Here is a 22104-nt window from a genome sequence, read left to right as displayed (position 1 = left end):
GTATGTTAGAGAGAACAGTAAAATAAACCTTAAGTATCTATCATCCAACTTCAATAATTGTCAACGAATCGCCATTCTTCTTTCAAATCTATCTCTCCCTCTCCCCATCCTGCTCCTTTCACCACTGGTAAATGATAGGATTTGTTTGTTTGTTTGTTTTTGTTTTTTTGAGGTGGAGTTTTGCTCTTCTTGCCCAGGCTGGAGTACAATGGCGCAGTCCTGGCTCACTGCAACCTCCAGCTCCCAGGTTCAAGCAATTCTCCTGCCTCAGCCTCCCGAATAGCTGGGATTACAGGCATGTGCCACCACACCTGGCTAATTTTGTATTTTTAGTAGAGATGGGGTTTCTCCATGTTGGTCAGGCTGTTCTCGAACTCCTGACCTCAGGCAATCCGCCTGCCTTGGCCTCCCAAAGTGCTGGGATTACAGGTGTGAGCCACTGTGCCCAGCCAATAGGAAAATTTCAAATTACTTCTTGAGAAAACATGAAGACTTTCCAATGCTACAAACATTTATACTACAATGTCTACTAGAGCCCTTGGAAGAAATAGTTTACTACAAATAAGACAGTACTATTTTATAAGGAGTTATATGCTATTGTTAGAAGCATTAAAAAAACCAAACTGTCAGTATTTACTTCTAGAAATGTATCCTACAATTATGACTATACAAATCAGTAAAGACATATGTACAAGGGTGTACCCAGTCTTACCTGTATTAAAAAAATTATGTATTTCCATCAGTAATTTACAAATTATATGACCTCCATACAACAGAATGTTACATAGCTATCAACAAAAATGAGAGATCTACGTGACTGACAAGATGTTCAAACTATACAGTCGAATGAGAAAAGTAATTTGCCAAACAGTTTATATCAGGTTCCATTTGTTTAAAGAACGAAATAGGACATAATGTTTTCATATATGTAATGTATAATTGGTCTATGATATACCAGGATGCCTCATTTTACCGTGTTCCCAGACACTGCATTTTTTACAAACTGAAGGTTTGTGGCAACTCTGTGCAAAGGAGGTCTATCAGCACCATTTTTCCAAAAGCACATGCTCACTTTGTATCTCTACATCACATTTTGGTAATTCTTGTAATAGTTCAAACTTTAAAAATTATTACGGTATCTGTTATGGTGATCTATGCCCAGTGTTCTTTGATGGAACTGCTGTAATTGTTCTGGGTGCCATAACTGCAACCATATCAAACAGTGAACTGAATTGGTAATTGTTATGTGTTCTGACGGCTCCACCAACCGGCCATTTATTTCCCAGTTTCTCTCCCTCTCCTTGGGCCTCCCTATTCCCTGTGACACAACGATATTGAAATTAGGCCAGTTAATAATGCTACAATGGCCTCTAAGTGTTCAGGTGAAAAGAAGAATCATGTCTCTTACTTTAAATCAAAAACTAGAGATTACTAAGTTTAGTGAGGAAGGCCTATCAAAAGCCACGCAAACCAAAAGCTAGGCCTCTTGTGCCAAACGCCCAAGTTGTGAATGCAAAGGAAAAGTTCTTGAAGAAAATTTAAAGTGCTACTTCAGTGAATACATGAATAATGAGAAAGCAAAACAGCCTTATTGTTGATATGGGAAGTCTGAGTGGTCTGGATGGAAGATCAAACCAGCCACGACATTCCCTTAAACCAAATCCTAATCCACAGCAAGGCCCTAACTGTTTTCAAGTCTATGAAGGCTGACAGAGGTGAGGAAGTTGCAGAAGAAAAGTTTGAAGCTAGCAGAAGTTAGTTCATAAGGTTTAAGGAAAGAAGCTGTGTTTATAACATAAAAAGTGCAAGGTGAAGCAGCAAGTGCTGATAGAAAAATTACAGCTAGTTACCCAGAAGACCTAGCTAGCTAAGATCACTGGTGAAGGTGGCTATAGTAAACAACATATTTTCAATGTAAATAAAACAGCATTCTATTGGAAGAAGATGCTATCTCTAGGACTTTGATAGTTGGAAAAGAGAAGGCAATGCCTGGCTTCAAAGCTTTAAAGGAGATGCTTTTGTTAGGCTCTTGTTAGGGGCTAATGCAGCTGGTGACATGAAGTTGAAGCCAATGCTCACTGATCATTCTGAAAATCCCAGGGTCCTTAATTCTACTAAATCAACTACATCTGTGTTGTCTGTGCTCTGTAAATGGAACAACAAAGCCTGGATGACAGTACAACTGTTTAGAGCATGGCTTACTGAATATTTTAAGCCCACTGTTAAGAGCTACTGCTCAGAAAAGAAGATTCCTTTGAAAATATTACTGCTCATTGAAAATGTTCACAGTTACCCAAGAGCTCTGATGAAGATATACAAGGAGATTAATGTTGTTTTCACATCTGCTAACACATCTGTTCTGCAGCCTCTGAATCAAAGAGTCATTTCAATTTTCAAGTCTTATCACTTAAGAAATACATTTCATAAGGCTATAGCTGCCCTAGGTAGTGATTTCTCTGATGGATCTGGGCAAAATAAATTGTAAACATATTAAAATAAATTTATCATTCTAGATGTCAGTAAGAGCATTCATGATTCACAAGAGGAAGTCAAAATACCAATAACAGGAGTTTAGAAAAAATGGATTCAATTTTGAATCCTCATGGATGACTTTGAGAAGTTCAAGACTTTAGTGGAGGAAGTGACTGAAGATGTGGTGGAAACAGCAAGAGAACCAGAATTAGAAGTGGAGCCTGAAGATGTACCTGAATTGCTGCAATCTCATGATAAAAATTGGATGGACGAGGAGTTACTTCTTATGGATGAGCAAAGAAAGTGGTTTCTTGAGATGGAATCTATTCATGATGAAGATGTTATGAACATAGTTGAAATATCAATGAAGGATATAGTATATGACAAAAACTTAGCTGACAAAGCTGTGACAAGGAATGAGAGAACTGACTCCAATTTTGAAGGAGGTTCTACTGTGGGTAAAATGCTATGAAACAGCATCACATGCTACAGGGAAAACTTTCGTGAAAGGAAGAATCAACTGATGTGGCAAATTTCATTGTCTTCTTATTTTAAGAAATTGCCACATGCATCCCAACCTTCAGTAATCACCACGCTATCAGTCAGCAGCCATCAACATTGAGGCAAGACCCTCCACTGGCAAAAAGATTACGACCTGCTGAAGGTGCAGATGATTGTTAACATTTTTTAGCAGTAAAGCGTTTTCTAAATTAAGGTATGTCCCTTTAAAAAAAAAAAAAAGAAATAATGCTTTTTCACACTTACTAGACTACAGTATAGCGTAAACATAACTTCCATATGCCGTGGGAAACCAAAACATTTGTGTGACTTGCGTTATTGCAGTATTTGCTTTTTTGCTGTGGTCTGAATCCAAATTTGCAACATCTCTAAAGTATGCCTGTAATCAATATGGTAAATAGGCACTTACCTGAAGTGTGGGTGCTTTGAGAGTTTTCTGAGAAAGTTCCGGAAGAGAGAGTACTCCACTACTATTTATTTGATGCATCTAAAGTAGAAGAAAGCTACAGATTATTTCAAAAAGCTGATTTCTCTCATCATATTATACTCGAAAGTTATCTTTGCATAATTTAACCATTAAAAATTATATCCAAATTCCAATAATACAGTTTAAAATAATTACCTGTTTTACTCTCTCCTCTTCTTCTTCCACCTCACTTGCCAGAATCTGAATTTTGTTCTTTAGGCTCTGAATATTCCCAGTCATTAACTCTGTGGTCTCTACCATTTTATCTATTTCTTCCTGAGTCAGAAAGAGAAAAAAAACATTTTAACTTAAACACATTATTATATTAAATCCTAATAGATATTGTTATACATACACATTTTAAAAAAACACCATATATATTTAAAACATTTTTAGAAGCAACTGGTGAATTTACTTTTGTTTCTTTCAAAAAAGAGACTTCTTGGAAAGCTGGTATGTCAAGGTATTAATGTGTTATAAGGATATCTAATTTCCCTGGAATAAGGAGATGTACATGAACACTTCCTCAAAACGTACCAATGCTGGTAGGGTCAGAGATCCTGGAAGATCCAAGTGTAAATCTAGCAGAGCCCAGAACTGATGACAACAAATACAGCAACCTTCCTTAAGCAGCATAAAACTTCATGTAGTGGAGAAATTCTGAATTGTTTTCATTTATTTAGGAACATTTAAGAGCCTGCTATTTTAATTTGTCAAAAGGAAGTAATGTTGGGCATTAGAGCAGGGAGAATAAAAAAAAAGAGTAACAGTTTCCCACATTAAAGGAATACATAATTTAGAGAGGAAGATGAAAAGAAAATAAGAAATGAATAAAACAAGTATGGGGACAACACATCAAGGATGTGTTGTGTGCAGGCCAAGTATAAAATTAAAATTAGCAAGCCTCCAGGTTTCTAAAGGGTATTAAACATGGCACTGCTTTCAAATATGGTCCTAGCAACAGTCAATGATAACATTGCCTGTATGCTTTGGGGAACAAGTAAATAAGCCACACAGAAAATATACATAAGTAATAACTCTTAAATCTTGTTCAGCAATAAAGTTGATGCTATATCTATGTCTTTTCCAAATACTGGATGCAGAACTATTGCTGGGAGAGTAGTCTTCCTCAAGAAATATATTTTGGCTTCTAAATGACTTTTTTTTTTTTTTAAGAAAGGGTAGCTGCAGGGGTCAGCAATTGCCCATGGGATGTTTTTGTACAGTTCAAGAACTGTGAATTGTTTGTACATTTTAAAAGATTGGTCAAAACCTCAACAAAACAAAAGGATATGCAACAAAACAGTCAACCACATGTGGTCCATAAAGGCTAAAATGTTGTCTGGCCCCTTACTGGGAATGTGCTGTTCTCTGAATGCCTAAGATTTTGGGACTGTGAGCTCTATTCACTTGAATCTAAACTCCATGGAGGAACAGACTCTGTTTTTATTTTTTTTATTTTTTTTTTTTTTTTGAGATGGAGTTTTGCTCTTGTTGCCCAGGCTAGAGTGCAATGGCACTATTTTGGCTCACTGCAACCTCTGCCTCCCAGGTTCAAGTGATTCTCATGCCTCAGCCTCCCAAGTAGCTGGGACTACAGGCACCTGCCACTATGCCCAGATAATTTTTTTTTCTGTATTGTAAGTAGAGACAGGGTTTCACCATGTTGGCCAGGCTGGTCTTGAACTCCTGACCTCTGGTTATCCACCAGCCTCAGCCTCCAAAAGTGCTGGGATTACAGGCGTGAGCCACCACGCCTGGCCCATGGCCATCCTGTCACACCTTTAACTCCATCTGCTTCTCCTGCTTCCCCTGTGCTATTTCAAATCCTAGATATCCTATCATTTTATCTATAAATATTTCAGTATACAGCTCTAAAGGATTTAAAGATACATAAGAGTACAATATCATTACTACACTTTAAAAAAATCTCAATAAATTCCTTAATATCAAACATATGGTTAGTGTTCACATTTTCAATTTTCTCATAAATTGGAGTTTTTTTTTTACATTTTGTTTTAATCAGGTTCCAAACTGGTTGTGACTGGTTGATATGTCTGAGTCTCTTTTCATCCATAGAAGGCTTCCATTTCAATTTATTTGTGGAGATTAGATAGTTTACTCTGTGGAATTTCCCATGGGCTAAATTTTGTGAACTGTATTCCCTGGTGAAGTTTAACTGGTTCCTCAGCCCTGTGTTTTCTGTGAATTGGTTGTAGGATCTAAGAGAATGCTGTCCAACATAAATATAAAGCAAACCACATATATTAGTTTCCCGTGGCTGCTGTACCACCTACTTGGCTTAAAATAACAGAAATTCATTCTGTCATGGTTCTGGAGGACAGAAGTACAAAATCAAGGTGTTGGCAGGGCCACAATCCCTCTGAAGACAAGAGAGGAGAATGGTTTCTTGTCTTTTTCAGCTTTTGGTAGCTGTCAGCATTCTTTGTAGCTGCATTGCTCTAGTTTCTGCCTTTGCTTTCACGTGGCTTTTTATTTATGCCTTCTATTGTGTTTCACGTGGCTTTTTCTTTGTCTTTGTGCCTTCTCTTGTCTTTTATAAGAACACTTGTCATTGGATTTAGGACGTACCCGTGACGATACAGGATGCTTCATCTTGAGATCCTTAATTATATTGGACAAGACCCTTTTCCTAGATTCAACCCACTACAAAGGGAATGTATAACAGCATTGAATGAACAAAAGGGTTAAATATAACAAGGATTAAAATTTCTCATTATAAAATTTATTTTGTTCCATTGCTTTGGTTATCTTTGGGTATTACTACCATACTCATATGGTATCTTCTTTGAGGTTTTTTTTTTCTCAATTCCTTTTAAAAATGTTTTTATGATTCTGAAAATTTTCTCTTTATCTTCTATTTACCATAAGCATTATCTGTTGTTTATTTGCTTTAGTGTTTCTTCTAATTTAGTCTACATATCTGCAAGGTTTTCTCTTTTATGTCTCATTCATTCTTGAATTCTCTACTTACATTTATCAGTATTTCTAATTCTGATTTATAATTTTTCCCCTATACTTTCTATCATTTTTTCTGAATTTATTTCAGTTCACTTGATAAATTAGGTTAATGTTTATCTGTTCTAGGCACGTGTCTTTTTGGTATGCTTTCGGTGTATCAGGAATGTTATTTTTGGTCTTTATTGTCATATTTTCTTATGCTAACTCTGATTCTGAAATCCTATGGCTCCATTTTTATGACAAGATCAAGGGAGTCTAAAAAATTATGCTTCAGCTGTTCTAATGCCATCCTCCCAGAATCTCCGAGATGGTGTTCACCATTGTTGTTTCCCCAGCACCATTACTGAGTGAGAGCACGATGAAAATGTTAAATGAATAAAATTTCTGTTACTATTACAGGTTTTGGAAGATCATCACCAGCAATGACTCTAGGCTGCAGTGAGAAAAAGCAATGGTTCTAAGGCACAGAGGAGAAAACTAATGAATACAGATAGAGTTTACAAGCTGCTAGTCCAAAGATCTTCTTATGCCAATGGAGAACTCTCCTGCCCCAAATGCCAGCGGTGCTTCTTCTGAGTGACTAACAAGCAAATTATAGATTGTAATTATGCTTATGTCCCATGGAGGTCAAATTTCAGCTGGAGGCCAGAAATGCTTACCAGTAGCATAAAAATCACACTATCATTTATGACTTCAGAACACCCTTAACTGATGTGCATAAATACTAAATGTTAAAATTCTCCATGATTATACTTTCAAACCTTTTAAAATAACCTAAATAAACGTCATCTAAGTGTTTAGGTGATGAAGCTAGTGCCAATACTGAAAAGATGCCCTAAAAAAGTAGGAACCTTGGGATGGAAATAAAATATAATACCACAGTTTGAATAAAGTGAGGCAGCCACCAAAAAATGCCGCCCTATTAGCTAAAAATACATATAGATTTGTGCTCAGAAATTGTTCCTTCAACTTTATTCTCAATCCTATGGAAAAATGGGAATGAATTGTTACCTTTGAATTATTATAAATTTTGGGAATATATTCCTTCAGAAACTACTACCACCTTGTACTTAATAAATTGCAACTAAAATCTATGCACCACATCTACAAACTACTTCAAAATGTCTAAGAGATACGGTCCCATATGTGTTAGTTTTTATAATTATCTAATAAGCTCCTCAAGGTTGCTTTGACTTAGTTGTTTGGATATCCATTCATTAAAAGCTGGAAGTTAACCATGATAGATAAGGTTATCTCCTATTATCTTCCACAGGATGCCATACAACATAGTGATCAAGAATCATGTGCTACTGTCAGAATGACAAAGTTAGCATCTCAACTTTAAGCAACTTGTCTAAGGTTCAGTTAGAAATAGCATTATGTCTTTTTATCACATTTATAAAAACAGAATAATTTAGGTCATACTCTAAGTCATTGTGAGGATTAAGGGATATAACTATAAAGTGCTTAGAACAGTGTCTGGAGTGTAGGAAGTCCCCAGTATATATTAACTCTAATGATAATTGTGTTTTCTTGCCATACACAGGTCAGAAAAATTTCCACGTTTTAAAATTCCACAGTATTTAGTGATAAGCTCCTCTAAATTGATAATTAAAAATACTAAGATAGTTCAGTTAAAATCTGATGAAAAAATAGGACTGCTACTGACAGGTGACAGTGTGCTGGCAGCCCTTGCAGCCCTTGCTCACTCCTGGCGCCTCCTCTGCCTGGGCTCCCACTTTGGCGGCACTTGAGGAGCCCTTCAGCCCACTGCTGCACTGTGGGAGCCCCTTTCTGGGCTGGCCAAGGCTGGAGCTGGCTCCCTCAGCTTGCAGGGAGGTGTGGAGGGAGAGGCGCGAGCGGGAACCGGGGCTGCGCCCGGTGCTTGCAGGTCAGCTGTAGTTCCAGGTGGGCGTGGGTTTAGCAGGCCCCACACTTGGAGCAGCTGGCTGGCCCTGCCAGCCCTGGGCAATGAGGGGCTTAGCACCCAAGCCAGCGGCTGTGGAGGGTGTACTGGGTCCCCCAGCAGTGCCAGCCCACCGGCACTGCTCGATTTCTCGCTGGGCCTTAGCTGCCTCCCTGTGGGGCAGGGCTTGGGACCTGCAGCCCGACATGCCTGAGCCTCCCCCCTCAGAGGGTTCCTGTGCAGCAGGAGCCTCCCCCATGAGCGCCGCCCCCTGCTCCACAGTGCCCAGTCCCATCGACCACCCAAGGGCTGAGGAGTGCGGGCGCACAGCACAGGACTGGCAGGCAGCTCCACCTGCAGCCCCAGTGTGGGATCCACTGGGTGAAGCCAGCTGGGCTCCTGAGTCTGGTGGGGACTTGGAGAACCTTTATGTCTAGCTAAGGGATTGTAAATACACCAATCTGCACTCTGTATCTAGCTCAAGGTTTGTAAACACACCAATCAGCACCCTGTGTCTAGCTCAGGGTTTGTGAATGCACCATTCTACACTCCGTATCTAGCTACTCTGGTGGGGACGTGGAGAACCTTTGTGTCTAGCTCTCAGGGATTATAAATACACCAATCAGTGCCCTGTCAAAACAGACCACTCGGCTCTACCAATCAGCAGGATGTGGGTGGGGCCAGACAAGAGACTAAAAGCAGGCTGCCTGAGCCAGCAGTGGCAACCCGCTTGGGTCCCCTTCCACACTATGGAAGCTTTGTTCTTTTGCTCTTTGCAATAAATCTTGCTACTGCTCACTCTTTGGGTCCACGCTGCCTTTATGAGCTGTAACACTCACCGCGAAGGTCTGCAGCTTCACTCCTGAGCCAGCGAGACCACGAACCCACTGGGAGGAACAAACTCCGGAAACGCTGCCTTTAAGAACTGTAACACTCACCACGAGGGTCTGTGGCTTCATTCTTGAAGTCAGTGAGACCAAGAACCCACCAACTCCAGACACATTTTGGCGACCACAAAGGGACCTTCGCCTATCGCCAAGCGGTGAGACAATCGCCGAGCGGTGAGACCATCGCCAATCGCCGAGCAGTGAGACCATTGCCTATCACTGAGTAAATCGAGGCCATCAAGCTACAGATGGTCTTACAAATAGAATCCCAAAGGAGTTCAACTAACAACTTCTACTGAGGACCCCTGGACCGACCCACTGGCACTTTCCCTGGCCTAGAGACCTCCCCTCTGGAGGACACTACAACTCCAGGGCCCCTTCATCGCCCCATCCAGCAGGAAGTAGCTAGAGTGGTCATCAGGCAAATTCCCAACAGCAGTTGGGATGTCCTGTTTAGAGGGGGGATTGAGAGGTGACAGCGTGCTGGCAGCCCTTGCAGCCCTCGCTCACTCTCGGCGCCTCCTCTGCCTGGGCTCCCACTTTGGTGGCACTTGAGGAGCCCTTCAGCCCACCGCTGCACTGTGGGAGCCCCTTTCTGGGCTGGCCAAGGCCGGAGCTGGCTCCCTCAGCTTGCAGGGAGGTGTGGAGGGAGAGGTGCGAGCGGGAACCGGGGCTGCGCGCGGTGCTTGCGGGCCAGCTGGAGTTCCGGTGGGTGTGGGCTTGGCAGGCCCCACACTCGGAGCAGCTGGCTGGCCCTGCCAGCCCCAGGCAATGAAGGGCTTAGCACCCAAGCCAGCGGCTGCGGGGGGTGTACTGGGTCCCCCAGCAGTGCCGGCCCACCGGCCCTGCGCTCAATTTGTCGCCGGGCCTTAGCTGCCTCCCTGTGGGGCAGGGCTCAGGACCTGCAGCCCGCCATGCCTGAGCCTCCCTCCTCCGTGGGCTCCTGTGCAGCCCAAGCCTCCCCGATGAGTGCTGCCCCCTGCTCCATGGCGCCCAGTCCCATCGACCACCCAAGGGCTGAGGAGTGCTGGCACACGGTGTGGGACTGGCAGGCAGCTCCACCTGCAGCCCCAGTGTGGGCTCCACTGGGTGAAGCCAACTGGGCTCCTGAGTCTGGTGGGGACGTGGAGAACCTTTGTGTCTAGCTCAGGGATTGTAAATACACCAATCAGCGCCCTGTCAAAACAGACCACTCGGCTCTACCAATCAGCAGGATGTGGGTGGGGCCAGTTAAGATAATAAAAGCAGGCTGCCTGAGCCAGCAGTGGCAACCCTCTCGGGTCCCCTTCCATGCTGTGGAAGCTTTGTTCTTTCGCTCTTTGCAATAAATCTTGCTACTGCTCACTCTTTGGGTCCACACTGCCTTTATGAGCTGTAACACTCACCGCGAAGGTCTGCAGCTTCACTCCTGAGCCAGTGAGACCAGAAACCCACCGGGAGGAACAAATTCCAGACACGTCACCTTTAAGAACTGTAACACTCACCACGAGGGTCCGCAGCTTCATTCTTGAAGTCAGTGAGACCAAGAACCCACCAATTCCGGACACACTACTTAACCACAAATATATTAGAAATACTTCAACTTTAGAGGTGCCAAGTTCAGACAAATTTTTGCTTTAATGAAAACAACAACAAAAAAACAATTTAATGAAAAAACCTGGTTCAAGATCTAGTATTCACTACTGGAAGAACATCATGATAATTTTAAAAACTTTGGTCTTCTTCCCTTTCCCTAACTCTCTAATTATGGATTCCCTATTCAAATTTCATACCTGTAGTAATGCCAGACCTTCTTCATTAGCTTTGTCTCGTGCCCTTTCCATATTCAGTAGACTTGATACATTAGTTAAATCTTCCATCTTTTTGGGAGGGACTTTCAGAGTTTCACACTGTTGTAGCAATCTTAAGGATAAAATAAAAACAATTATTTTGTTTATTTTTGAGTACTATTATTATTTTAAAACAGTCCTCATTTTTTCTTGTCCTCATATTCTTAAGGGTACAATATTCTTTTATTACCACTGGGTAACATTGCCAGTAAATCTCCCCCTCTAAAAGCCCTGACAAATCATCATTTAGCCTTTCAATTTATTAAGATTTACCTCAAATTAAGGGACACTGGGGCTACTTTACTAAAAGCAAATTTTCTATCTTACACATTTGACAATTTATATACATTTTAAAACCAAAATTTCCTTTTATCATCCAGATGTTTTCTAGACTATTACACTACATGAGTCTATTATACATTGTGAATTATTGGTTGAGAGACAGAACACTAGTCTAGAAGTCTTAACTATGACCCTGGACCCCAAATCTCAATTATTTTAGAGAATGTGATCAAAAATAGAGAAGATTTACATTAGTTATTCTAAATGATTTCAAAGAAAACTGAGTTCTATAGAGTTTAAGGCAAATAAAACACTAAGATCAAAGTGCATTGCTCAAAAATTCTATAAACATGAATGGCATTTAATATTAAAGTTAAAAAATTCTTTTACAAATTTGAGTTGATCACCAGTAGAAACATCTATTTCTATCATCACATCTGGCAGACTGCAAAATAGCTTTCCCAGATTTGATTCTTGAATTTTATGAGGAGGAAAAGCTAAATTTGATTCCCTTTATAACAGCAGTATCTTTGGGTTCTAAAAAGTTCTACTACTTAAGATTTGAAGAAATCTGAACAATAGTGGAACCCACTATCCCACTTTTGGGATCTGGTTAAAAATCTTAATTAAAAAAAAATCTTTTATTTTAGATTCAGGAATACATATGCAGGTTATGTAGGCAAATGTTGTGGGGCTTTGGTGTACAGATTATTTTTTCACCCAGGTAATAAGCATAGTACCTGATAGGTAGTTTCTCAACCCTCACTCTCCTCCCGCAAGTAGGCCCTGGTATCTTTGTTCCCTTCTTTGTGTCCATATATATTCAATGTTTAGCTCCCACTTGTGAGAAAATGCACTATGTGGTTTTCTGTTCCTGTGTTAGTTTGCTTAGGATAATGACCTCTAGCTCCAACCGTGTTGCTGCAAAGGACATGATCTCATTCTTTTATGGCTGCATAGCATTCCAAGTTTTATATGTACTACATTTTCTTTATCTAATCTACCACTGATAGGCCTTTAGGTTGATTCTATGTCTTTGCAATTGTGAATAGTTCTGTGGTAAACATAAGTGTGCATGTGTCTTTATAACAATTTATATTCCTTCAGGTATATACCCACTAATGGGATTGCTGGGTTGGATGGTAGTTCTGTTTTAAGTTGAGAATCTGCCAAACTGCTTTCCACAATGGTTGAACTAATTTACATTCCCACTAGAAGTTTATAAGCATTCCCTTTTCTTGGCAACCTCCCAGCATCTGTTACTTTTTGACTTTTTAATAACAGCCATTTTGACTGGTTTAAGATGGTATCTCATTGTGGTTTTCATTTGCATTTCTCTAGTAATTAGTGATGTTGAGAGCATTTTTTTCATGTTTGTTGGCCGCATGTATGTTTTCTTTTGAAAAGTGTCTGTTCATGTCCTTTGCCCACTTTTTAATAGGATTGTTGGTTTTTTGCTTGCTAATTTGTTTAAGTTTCTAATAGAGTCTTGATACAGACCTTTGTTTGATGCATTGTTTGCAAATAAAATTTTAATTTTTGTAAAGAAAAAAGTAGGCAGCAAAAACCCCACAAATCATAATTCTCATTAAACTGTTAAGACAAACTCTAGTTATTTAGAAAAATCATCATTAGGCTATCACATTTAAACACAAACTATCTGCCTAAGCTTTCCTAAGAGGAATAAGTTTTTTATTTTCTTAACAAAAATATTTTAATTATGAAGTTTCTTCTATATGTTTATTAAACCAATTATGTGGAAGAGTCATTCACTGCTCCAAATGTTCTAAATAGCAGTTAGATTTCCAAGAGTCTCACTAACTCTTAGAAACTAAAACCATGGCTTGAATATATCCTATTATATCAGCAACATTTAATCACCACTTATAACATTGTTTCTATAGGGCAGACTTTCTGGAAGTATGTTCCTTTAGAATTGTAATGGCGAATAGTTTTGTTTGCCTAGCAAACTTGTCTGTGTAATCATGGGGCTAGGTATATAATCCAGTCTATATCAATCATATCCATGGTAGCTCTTGTCACAAAATCACGCCAAGAATAGGTGTATATCACCTAAGCTCAGCAAATCAGAAACCATCTCCTAGAATTTTCTAACTGAAGCTAAGGGGTAAGAATCGTCTTTTTCCTCTTTCTTCGCCAGGCTAAAATGATATACACAGGAAGCTGCCTATGACTATAGCTGTAATCTAGTAAGAACTGAAAACTAAAAAATGAAAATAATGAAGCTAACGTTTAGTCAAAAGCAGAGATGAGACTAATATATGAAAATGACTTCCCAGAAATATCAATTTGGGAGATGCTAGGTTAAAGAAAATGAAATAGATTTATATGAAAATGAGTTCCCAGAAATAGCAATTTGGGAGATGCTAGCTTAAAGAAAATGAAATAGATTTATTTACTGCAGGGCTTCTTACATGCTAAGGTACCCAAATATAATTCACCATAGGTTACTTTTATCCATAGACTATCTGTAAGAACAAGTGTTTCAAATATACTTTCAGAAACACTGCTACAGAAAAATGTATTTAGAGTTCCAATTAGGATCAGTTTGCTAATGTTGTACTTTGTTGTATTGGTAGAAGTAACTGTATCTTGGGTATGGTGACTTCAGGAACTAAAGAAAGCAAGCTGTGAAAGTAAAAATAAGGAGGAAATAGTCAGGCCTTGAAATGTATGTACTCCATAGCTGTTACATGACAAAGAGACTGCCTATCTGTTGAATATAATCTTTTCCAATGAACCAAGGTGATCACTATGAACAGCAACTATTATGTAATAGTCACATTCATAAACTAAACATTAGTATTTGTTCTATATTAAAAAGATCCTAAACAGCTACATTTTCATTATACTTGTATTAGCTTATTATCTTTTTAATATCTTCTTCCTTCTTTAATAATAGGCTGCTATACCTTTAAGCAATTTACAAGCCTGCTTCTAGCAGTTTTTAATTTGTTAAACCTTTCTCAGCAAACTCCCACCCTGACCCAACCCATCTGATTCACTCTTTCTACTTGGCTATTGTGGGTTGAAAATTATATTTAAAGAAAAACTAAATAGAATTTGTACTCAAAAGAATTCCTTAAAATAGGTCACAAATATTTCTAGGCAAACTTGAAACTGAGAAACAGAACATTTTCTTTTTTTTTTTTTTATTATACTTTAAGTTCTAGGGTACATGTGCACAACTGTGCAGGTTTGTTACATATGTATACATGTGCCATGTGGTGTGCTGTACCCATTAACTCATTTAGCATTAGGTATATCTCCTAATTCTATCCCTCCCCCTCCCCCCACCCCATGACAGGCCCCGGTGTGTGATGATCCCCTTCCTGTGCCCAGGTGTTCTCATTGTTCAATTCACACCTATGAGTGAGAATATGCGGTGTTTGGTTTTTCATCCTTGTGATAGTTTGCTGAGAATGATGGTTTCCAGCTTCATCCATGTCCCTACAAAGGACATGAACTCATCCTTTCTTATGGCTGCATAGTATTCCATGGTGTATATGTGCCACATTTTCTTAATCCAGTCTATCATTGATGGACATTTGGGTTGGTTCCAAGTCTTTGCTATTGTGAATAGTGCCGCAGTAAACACACATGTTCATGTGTCTTTATAGTAGCATGACTTATAATCCTTTGAGTATATACCCAGTAATGGGATGGCTAGATCAAATGGTATTTCTAGTTCTAGATCCTTGAGGAATCGCCACACTGTCTTCCACAATGGTTGAACTAGTTTACAGTCCCACCAACAGTGTAAAAGTGTTCCTATTTCTGCATGTCCTCTCCAGCACCTGTTGTTTCCTGACTTTTTAATGATCGCCATTCTAACTGGTGTGAGATGGTATCTCATTGTGGTTTTGATTTGCGTTTCTCTGATGGCCAGTGATGATGAACATTTTTTCATGTGTCTGTTGGCTGCATAAATGTCTTCTTTTGAGAAGTGTCTGTTCATATCCTTTGCCCACTTTGTGATAGGGTTGTTTTTTTCTTGTAAATTTGTTTGAGTTCATTGTAGATTCTGGATATTAGCCCTTTGTCAGATGAGTAGATTGCAAAAATTTTCTCCCATTCTGTAGGATGCCTGTTCACTCTGATGGTAGTTTCTTTTGATGTGCAGAAGCTCTTTAGTTTAATTAGATCCCATTTGTCAATTTTGGCTTTTGTTGTCATTGCTTTTGGTGTTTCGGACATGAAATCCTTGCCCATGCCTATGTCCTGAATGGTATTGCCTATGTTTTCTTCTAGGGTTTTTATGGTTTTAGTTCTAACATTTAAGTCTTTAATCCACCTTGAATTAATTTTTGTATAAGGTATAAGGAAGGGATCCAGTTTCAGCTTTCTACATATGGCTAGCCAGTTTTCCCAGCACCATTTATTAAATAGGAATCCTTTCCCCATTGCTTGTTTTTGTCAGGTTTGTCAAAGATCAGATGGTTGTAGATGTGTGGTATTATTTCTGAGGGCTCTGTTCTGTTCCATTGGTCTCTATCTCTGTTTTGGTACCAGTACCATGGTGTTTTGTTTACTATAGCCTTTTTATATAGTTTGAAGTCAGGTAGTGTGATGCCTCCAGCTTTGTTCTTTTTGCTTAGGATTGTCTTGGCAATGCGGGCCCTTTTTTGGTTCCATATGAACTTTAGTTTTTTTTTTCCAATTCTGTGAAGAAAGTCATTGGTAGCTTGATGGGGATGGCACTGAATCTATAAATTACCTTGGGCAGTATGGCCATTTTCACGATATTGATTCTTCCCATCCATGAGCATGGAATGTTCTTCCATTTGTTTGTATCCTCTTTTATTTCGTTGAGCAGTGGTTTGTAGTTCTCCTTGAAGAGGTCCTTCACGTCCCTTGTAAGGTGGATTCCTAGGTATTTTATTCTCTTTGAAGCAATTGTGAATGGGAGTTCACTCATGATTTGGCTCTCTGTTTGTCTGTTATTGGTGTATAAGAATGCTTGTGATTTTTGCACATTGATTTTGTATCCTGAGATTTTGCTGAAGTTGCTTATCAGCTTAAGGAGATTTTGGGCTGAGACAATGGGGTTTTCTAGATATACAATCATGTCATCTGCAAACAGGGACAATTTGACTTCCTCTTTTCCTAATTGAATACCCTTTATTTCTTTCTCCTGCCTGATTGCCCTGGCCAGAACTTCCAACACTATGTTGAATAGGATTGGTGAGAGAGGGCATCCCTGTCTTGTGCCAGTTTTCAAAGGGAATGCTTCCAGTTTTTGCCCATTCAGTATGACATTGGCTGTGGATTTGTCATAAAAAGCTCTTATTATTTTCAGATACATCCCCTCAATACCTAATTTATTTAGAGTTTTTAGCATGAAGGGTTGTTGAATTTTGTCAAAGGCCTTTTCTGCATCTAGTGAGATAATCATGTGGTTTTTGTTTTTGGTTTGGTTTATATGCTGGATTACGTTTATTGATGTTGAACCAGACTTGCATCCCAGGGATGAAGCCCACTTGATCATGGTGGATAAGCTTTTTGATGTGCTGCTGGATTTGGTTTGCCAGTATTTTATTGAGGATTTCTGCATCAATGTTCATCAGGGATATCGGTCTAAAATTCCCTCTTTTTCTATTGATTGGAATAGTTTCAGAAGGAATGGTTCCAGCTCCTCCTTGTATCTCTGGTAGAATTCGGCTGTGAATCTGTCTGGTCCTGGACTTTTTTTGGTTGGTAGGCTATTAATTATTGCCTCCATTTCAGAGCCTGTTATTGGTCTATTCAGGGATTCAACTTCTTCCCTGTTTAGTCTTGGGAGGTGTATGTGTCCAGGAATTTATCCATTTCTTCTAGATTTTCTATTTTATTTGCGTAGAGGTGTTTATAGTATTCTCTGATGGTAGTTTGTATCTCTGTGGGATCAGTGGTGATATCCCTTTTATCAGTTTTTTATTGCATCTATTTGATTCTTCTCTCTTTTCTTATTAGTCTTGCTAGTGGTCTATCAATTTTGTTGATCTTTTCAAAAAATCAGCTCCTGGATTCACTGATTTTTTGAAGGGTTTTTTGTGTCTCTATCTCCTTTAGTTCTGCTCTGATCTTAGTTATTTCTTGCCTTCTGCTAGCTTTTGAAAGTGTTTGCTCTTGCTTCTCTAGTTCTTTTAATTGTGATGTTAGGGTGTCAATTTTTCCTGCTTTCTCTTGTGGGCATTTAGTGCTATAAATTTCCCTCTACACACTGCTTTAAATGTGTCGCAGAGATTCTGGTATGTTGTGTCTTTGTTCTCGTTGGTTTCAAAGAACATCTTTATTTCTGCCTTCATTTCGTTATGTACCCAGTAGTCATTCAGGAGCAGGTTGTTCAGTTTCCATGTAGTTGAGTGGTTTTGAGTGAGTTTCTTAATCCTGAGTTCTAGTTTGATTGCACTGTGGTCTGAGAGACAGTTTGTTATAATTTCTGTTCTTTTGCATTTGCTGAGGAGTGCTTCACTTCCAACTATGTGGTCAATTTTGGAATAAGTGCAATGTGGTGCTTAGAAGAATATATATTCTGTTGATTGGGGTGGAGAGTTCTTTAGATGTCTATTAGGTCTGCTTGGTGCAGAGCTGAGTTCAATTACTGTATATCCTTGTTAATTTTCTGTCTCATTGGTCTGTCTAGTGTTGACAGTGGGGTGTTAAAGTCTCCCATTATTATTATGTGGGAGCCTAAGTCTCTTTGTAGGTCTCTAAGGACTTGCTTTATGAATCTGGGTGCTCCTGTATTAGGTGCATATATGTTTAGGATAGTTAGCTCTTCTTGTTGAATTGATCCCTTTACTATTATTAACGGTCTTCTTTGTCTCTTTTGATCTTTGTTGGTTTAAAGTCTGTTTTATCAGAGACTAGGATTGCAACCCCTGCCTTTTTTTGTTTTCCATTTGCTTGGTAGATCTTTCTCCATCCCTGTATTTTGAGCCTATGCGTATCTCTGCACATGAGATGGGTCTCCTGAATACAGCACACTGATGGGTTTTGACTCTATCCAATTTGCCAGTCTGTGTCTTTTAACTGGAGCATTTAGCCCATTTACATTTAAGGTTAATATTGTTATGTGTGAATTTGATCCTGTCATTATGATATTAGCTGGTTATTTTGCTCGTTAGTTGATGCAGTTTCTTCCTAGCATCGATGGTCTTTACAATTTGGCATGTTTTTGCAGTGGCTGGTACCGGTTTTTCCTTTCCATGTTTAGTGCTTCCTTCAGAAGCTCTTTTAGGGCAGGCCTGGTGGTGACAAAATCTCTCAGCATTTGCTTGTCTGTAAAGGATTTTATTTCTCCTTCACTTATGAAGCTTAGTTTCTTATAAAAAGAAAAAGTTGTGTAAATACTAGAGAAAAGTAATTATTGAAAATCACAGGCAGTGGTGTGCCTTTTAAGAACTCCTGAGAAGAAATCTCCATTGGTGATTTACCATAAGATGAAGAGCAATAATATCTTAGAAAATTATACTTGTTGCTCATGCAAATAATTTAAGACAATATGAAGTGGAAAAACACAGCAATAGGGTAAATATCAGATAGATAAGAGTTGTGAACTATTAACTTCAAATTATTAAAAATGAAGTTGAAGGGAGTTCAAGTTGACAAAACTGTTTTCAAATTCTGATATGGAAGAGTGAACTGTGGAAACAGAATTTCGTGATTTTCAGGGTTTTTTTTGTAAGTTCCCCTGAAACTTATTTGAGAAACATGTGGAGCAGCAGTTTAGAAAAAAGAGAAAACATACTTCCAAGTTGTTCACCTTCTCTAAAAAAAAAGAAAAACTTACATTCCACAAGTGTCTATTTGGCAACATAGAAAGAAGTCAGGTTTTTAAAAATTATGTTTTAATCATTTTAATTATGCAATAGTATTACCTTTTCTTCAGGAAGTTGAGATGGTATTGTATTTCTTCTTTTTCTTTAATACTGTTACTCAAAATTGTCCTAGAAAAGAAAAAAAGATGGAATAAATAGTAGTCTGATGCACAAATCATATACTCTTTGTACTTTTTCTCTCTGATTTCTCTCAAGTACCCCTCCCCACTAGCCAGGCAAAATCAATCACTTTTCCTTTCATATTAAAGACACTTTAAACAGAAGTACAATGAAAAAATTCTTCTTATATATATATTTTGCCACACTGTATTGTAATAAGTTACATGCCTGGCTCTTCTGATAGAATTTGCTCCACAATGGCAGAATTCTGTCTTATTTTCTCTGTATCCCCTCCAGTGTGGTAGCTTCTATGTAAAGTGTCACTTTGAACTCAACTTCTTCCTAAAGAATCTCTATTGACAAAAATTAAAATTTTATTGATAGCAAGTCAGGCCACAAACACTTGCTTTTATTTCACCGATGGAATTTCAGGTTTCTAAAATTAACAAAGACTTTTCTGCTGAAGGCAAATACCGTCACATTAATTTTATCTGCTTCCGAAATAGAAATATACTCTATTACCTTAAAATAGATAGCAATATTTAAAAGAATAATATCCATAGGAAACACCTAAATGGGAACCAAAAGAATGAAATGGAACAATTTTATACTCACATTATTACTGATTCCATCATAGTTTGCAAATGGTCTCTGGTACTCTTTGACAGAGGTTGCCAGGTTTTTCTCTTGCTGGCTGCTGTCTTTCCGTGTTTTAGGTTAGTGTGCTTTGTTTGTCCTGTCGTTAGTAATAGAAGAGGCTCTGATCAATCTAGATGTTTTACATGTTTTTGCTTAAAAATGGAATGTTTTCATCTAAAAAAGCTTATGAAATTATCAGAACAAAATATTATAAAGCTGTATAAACTGTTTAATTTACTTTTTATCACACAGCTGTAACATCCCAGGTGTTGAATATGAATATGCTTTCTATTGATAAGTTAACAGAAATACTACCAAGTGATAATAGAAATAATTTTAAATGAAGAATCAAACTTTAATTATGAAAAGTTTCATTCTCAGAAATGGCCTAAATTCTTTAAACATTTCATTGAGAGGACCAGGAAACTATTTTCCAAATGTTGGATGGCAACTGGAACAAAACAGACTAATCAAACCACAAATAGATAGTGTCAACTATGCTGTTGGTACTGTTCTACTTATTAGGTATTAAAAAAAAGAAGAAATAGTACTGGATCTCATGAAAATGAGTGTTGGAGAGAAGGGATATTGAACAAATTATAGGTGTGCAAAGCATACAAAAGGAAAAAAAAGTATTGTACACTATGGCAGTATAAAACCAGAGGACCTAACCTAGTGTTGGCTGAGGAGACGTAGAGAATCCTTCCATGAAACAGTGATGTTTAAGCAAAGGCAACTACTCTAAACTAGTTTACTCCAAACAAACTTATAATAATGGTTCCAAACTAATCTATACAGAACAGAAAGCATATTTGTCTTGAAGAAAAATTAGTACATTTGTATTTATATCACAGATCACTAATAATTCAGGCTGTGGGCCACTTTGAGTTTCTCTATTTCCTATCAACTCAGTGGCATTGAAGCCTCTACAGTATTTCGTCAGAGGTGCTAAGTAAAATTTCAGTTGACCAAAATAACTAACCACTACTACATATTCTTACAAAAATGCAAATGTAGTTGTTTATTACTATCTTTTGCAGAACTCATAAACAAGATGCTGAACATTTTTTCACGAATGTAGATATAGCTTGATATAGAAGCAGGTTAAACAAGGTAATAGAAAAGAAATACCTTCAGAAGACAGATCTTTCAGATGATTTTTATTTTTTTTCACTGTGTTTCTAACCTAGAGGGAAAAACACATGCATAAACATAAACAGAATTAAACATCAGATAAAAGGATCCTGCTTTTACAATAGATTTTTATATATGTCAAAGAGTATTCATATAATTTCTAGTACATAGAAAAAATGTATGTTGCTACTTCTAAAGAAAAATGGTGTATATTTATCACAGAGAGGACATACTAAAGCAATTCTTGACAATGATGATAATAACAGAATTTTATACAGTGTCAAAGAATGTTTTAAATGAATTATTACTCACTTTGCCTAAGAAATAATGTTATATACAAATATAGGCATTGCCTAATGAGTAGGGTAAAACCTGAAACTTTTTTTTTTTTTTTTTTTTTTTTGAGACGGAGTCTCACTCTTTTTGCCCAGGCTGGAGTGCAGTGGCACAAACTCGGTTCACTGCAACCTCTGCCTCCCGGGTTCAAGCAATTCTGCTGCTTCAACCTCCTCCCGAGTAGCTGAGATTACAGGTGTGCACCACCACGCCTGGCTAATTTTTTGTATTTTTTTTTTTGTTTTTTTTAAGTAGAGACGGGGTTTCATCATGTTAGCCAGGATGGTTTCGATCTCCTGACCTCGTGATCCACCCACCTCGGCCTCCCAAAGTGCTGGGATTACAGGCATGAGCCATAGTGCTTGGCCACAGTTGAAGATTTCTAAATGAGAAACTTGATATTTTCATTACCTTATTCTCTGACAACACAACTTCCTCATTATCCTTTTTTCTCTTTGGATTTCTTTTTAACTGTTGAGCGTTTTTCTTGGAAGCATTTGCTTTACCAGACATCTTGATCTAAACACAGTGCTTCGAAAAAAAAAAAAATCTGTAAAGATGAAAATAATACAAAAAAAGCTAAAGCCTTGCACAATGTTTTGTTTAAAAAACTATCCTGTAAATGTTCCACATTCTCTTTTTTTTTTTTTTTAAAGAAAAATCATAATAAAAGTTTGGGGATAGTATTGTATGCTTTTAAACAAGCATT

General features: G+C 38.3%; 1 protein-coding gene across 2 annotated transcripts in view, besides 2 other annotated features; it reads right to left on the bottom strand.

The window, feature by feature from the left end:
• The window catches only part of CENPQ (centromere protein Q), a 29738-nt gene that overhangs the window by 1023 nt on the left and 6611 nt on the right, over nt 1-22104 (bottom strand). The window contains exons 2-8 of one of the 2 annotated variants that reach the window (XM_005249205.2): nt 21807-21945; nt 21057-21111; nt 19902-20022; nt 19227-19295; nt 11005-11134; nt 3614-3733; nt 3401-3478 (exon numbers count right to left, since the gene is read on the bottom strand). In XM_005249205.2, the coding sequence (XP_005249262.1) occupies nt 3401-3478; nt 3614-3733; nt 11005-11134; nt 19227-19295; nt 19902-20022; nt 21057-21111; nt 21807-21908 (675 nt within the window). In that variant the 5' untranslated portion in view covers nt 21909-21945. The remainder of the gene's footprint in view (nt 1-3400; nt 3479-3613; nt 3734-11004; nt 11135-19226; nt 19296-19901; nt 20023-21056; nt 21112-21806; nt 21946-22104) is intronic. The other variant, NM_018132.4, reaches the window with a different exon arrangement.
• Nucleotides 7944-8447: an enhancer, noted in NCBI's record as "H3K27ac-H3K4me1 hESC enhancer chr6:49451351-49451854 (GRCh37/hg19 assembly coordinates)". NCBI's record gives its function as "activates a minimal SCP1, AML or CMV promoter by ChIP-STARR-seq in primed H9 embryonic stem cells {active_cell/tissue: H9 hESC(primed)}" and the evidence as "EXISTENCE:reporter gene assay evidence [ECO:0000049][PMID:30033119]".
• Nucleotides 8448-8952: an enhancer, noted in NCBI's record as "H3K27ac-H3K4me1 hESC enhancer chr6:49450846-49451350 (GRCh37/hg19 assembly coordinates)". NCBI's record gives its function as "activates a minimal SCP1, AML or CMV promoter by ChIP-STARR-seq in primed H9 embryonic stem cells {active_cell/tissue: H9 hESC(primed)}" and the evidence as "EXISTENCE:reporter gene assay evidence [ECO:0000049][PMID:30033119]".

The sequence above is a fragment of the Homo sapiens genome, chromosome 6 (assembly GCF_000001405.40).
Source record: "Homo sapiens chromosome 6, GRCh38.p14 Primary Assembly".
Lineage (NCBI taxonomy): Eukaryota > Metazoa > Chordata > Mammalia > Primates > Hominidae > Homo > Homo sapiens.
This window is presented reverse-complemented; position numbering and strand designations above follow the sequence as displayed.